This window comes from Homo sapiens, chromosome 8, assembly GCF_000001405.40.
Source record: "Homo sapiens chromosome 8, GRCh38.p14 Primary Assembly".
NCBI classification, from domain to species: domain Eukaryota; kingdom Metazoa; phylum Chordata; class Mammalia; order Primates; family Hominidae; genus Homo; species Homo sapiens.
The window spans coordinates 94,077,454-94,079,370 of NC_000008.11; positions in this window are offsets into that span (position 1 = coordinate 94,077,454).

A 1,917-nucleotide genomic window follows, 5' to 3' on the forward strand; every position below is an offset into this window, starting at 1 on the left:
AAACGCAATCAGGCCAGCTGTGTCTGCTAATGGGCTTATCAAAGTCAGACTCCTACCCTCCCACCGAGACTGGGAGGCAGGGGCCCTGGACTTTCTGATGATTTCATTTCAAAGGAAGGGCCTGCAAGTCCCTGAGAAAGACACTCTTGGGTTGTAGAGATACATATCCATCTCACAGGGACAGAGGAGGCATTCACAATTGTAAGCTTTTTTTTTTTTTTTTTTTTTTTAAATAAATGCTCTAAGAAGTAAGGTCTAGGGCTTGTCTCCAGGTGTTGGCTGGGACAAACTAAGTTATTTGGCAGCCTTGCCCCTTTTCAGACAGGAACTCAAGAGGGCGGTGGGGGCTACTAAAAGCAATGCTAGAGTTTAGTCGACTCCCTTAGTGCAGGGGTTTGGGCCGAATTGCTTCTGCACTTCTCAGGTGGGCTTCTCTGCACGTGGTCATCATCCCAGATGAGAGAGAAAGCAAGGCCCAGCCACAAGTACATTGTAAGCCTCTGCTTGCTTCATGTTTACTAATATTTCCTGGGCCAGAGAAAGCCAGATGGCCAAGCCCAGATTCAAGGGGTGGAGAAACAGATTCCCTCTCTGGCTGGGAGGAGCAGCATGGCTCTCTTGCAGAGGGGCGTGCAGAGGGGCGGGAGGAATCATTGCAGCCATCTTCACCAACAATCTACCAGAAATTCTAGTCCAGCGCCAACCTGGCCTTTCTCCTGAGCCCCTATTTTCCAAGCAGAAAAAAATACAAAATTTTAGTCATATGTCTATCTCTGCTCAAAGCTTAGTGCATTCTGGTAATTTAAATAGCCTGTTTAGGTAGATGGAATCTCTGGAATAAAAATGCTCTTAGCCTCTGCTCTTCCTAATTTTCTCATGGTGTCTAGGGGGAGGGATGTGGCAGAGAAGCATTTGGTCTAGCTGCTGTTGGTCTGTTTGGGTCTTGAACATGCCACAGTGTGATTGAGATGCCAAGCCATGACCTAGCCAGAGCTGCATCAACCTGGAGAAAGGGGCACCTCTTTCTAATTGGCCACCCCAGGGGGGTGCCTTTTGCCTTCCCTCCGCCCAAAAAAGTACCTTCTTCTAATGTGCACAAAGACATCATCTATGCTAGCAGCAGTGGCCCAGGGCAACATTCTCTACTTCTCTAGTCTTCTGGAGGCTGTTCCTTAGTTGGCTGGGTACATCCTGCCCTCCTGGCCCTTGCAGTAGAAGCCTGTGCCTGGAGAGCTCCCCTAGTCACGATCTGACCTCCCCCAGCTTGCTGGGATCCAGTGGCACTTGCTGGCTGGATTGGCCTCCCCCAGCTCTTTATTTTTTTTATTAATTTTTATGGGTACATAGTAGGTGTATCTATGGGGTACATGGGATATTTTGATATAGGCATGCAATGCATAGTGATCACATCATGGTAAATAAGGTATCCATCACCTCAAGCATTTACCCTTTCTTTGTGTTACAAATATTCCAATTATACTTTTAGCACTCTGCTAAGTGTTTCAAGTCTGATTTTTCTTTTTATGCGCTAAAAGAAGGGGTCGATTTCCAGATATGGAAAATTGTTTCTCAAAAAAAAATCCTGGCTTATAAGACTATCTTATTGCATAATTGTACCTTGTACATCAGAAGCTATTAAGTTCCTGTTTGTGGGTTTTTTTTTTTTTTTTTTTTTTTTTTTTTACATAAATGCTAATCTCCACGACATTTTCCTGGGAGATGCTGGCAGACAGGAGGAGTGCTACTCTGAGTGAGGTCCAGGGACCTCAGCACCAGCACCACACAGGAGCTTGTGAGAAATGCAGATCCTCGGGGACTAGCCCAGACCTGATAAAGCAGAATCTTTAAAAACAGGGCCTAGGAATCTGGATTTAAAAAATTCTTCTGGGAGATGTTGGTGCCCACTAAAGTTTGAAA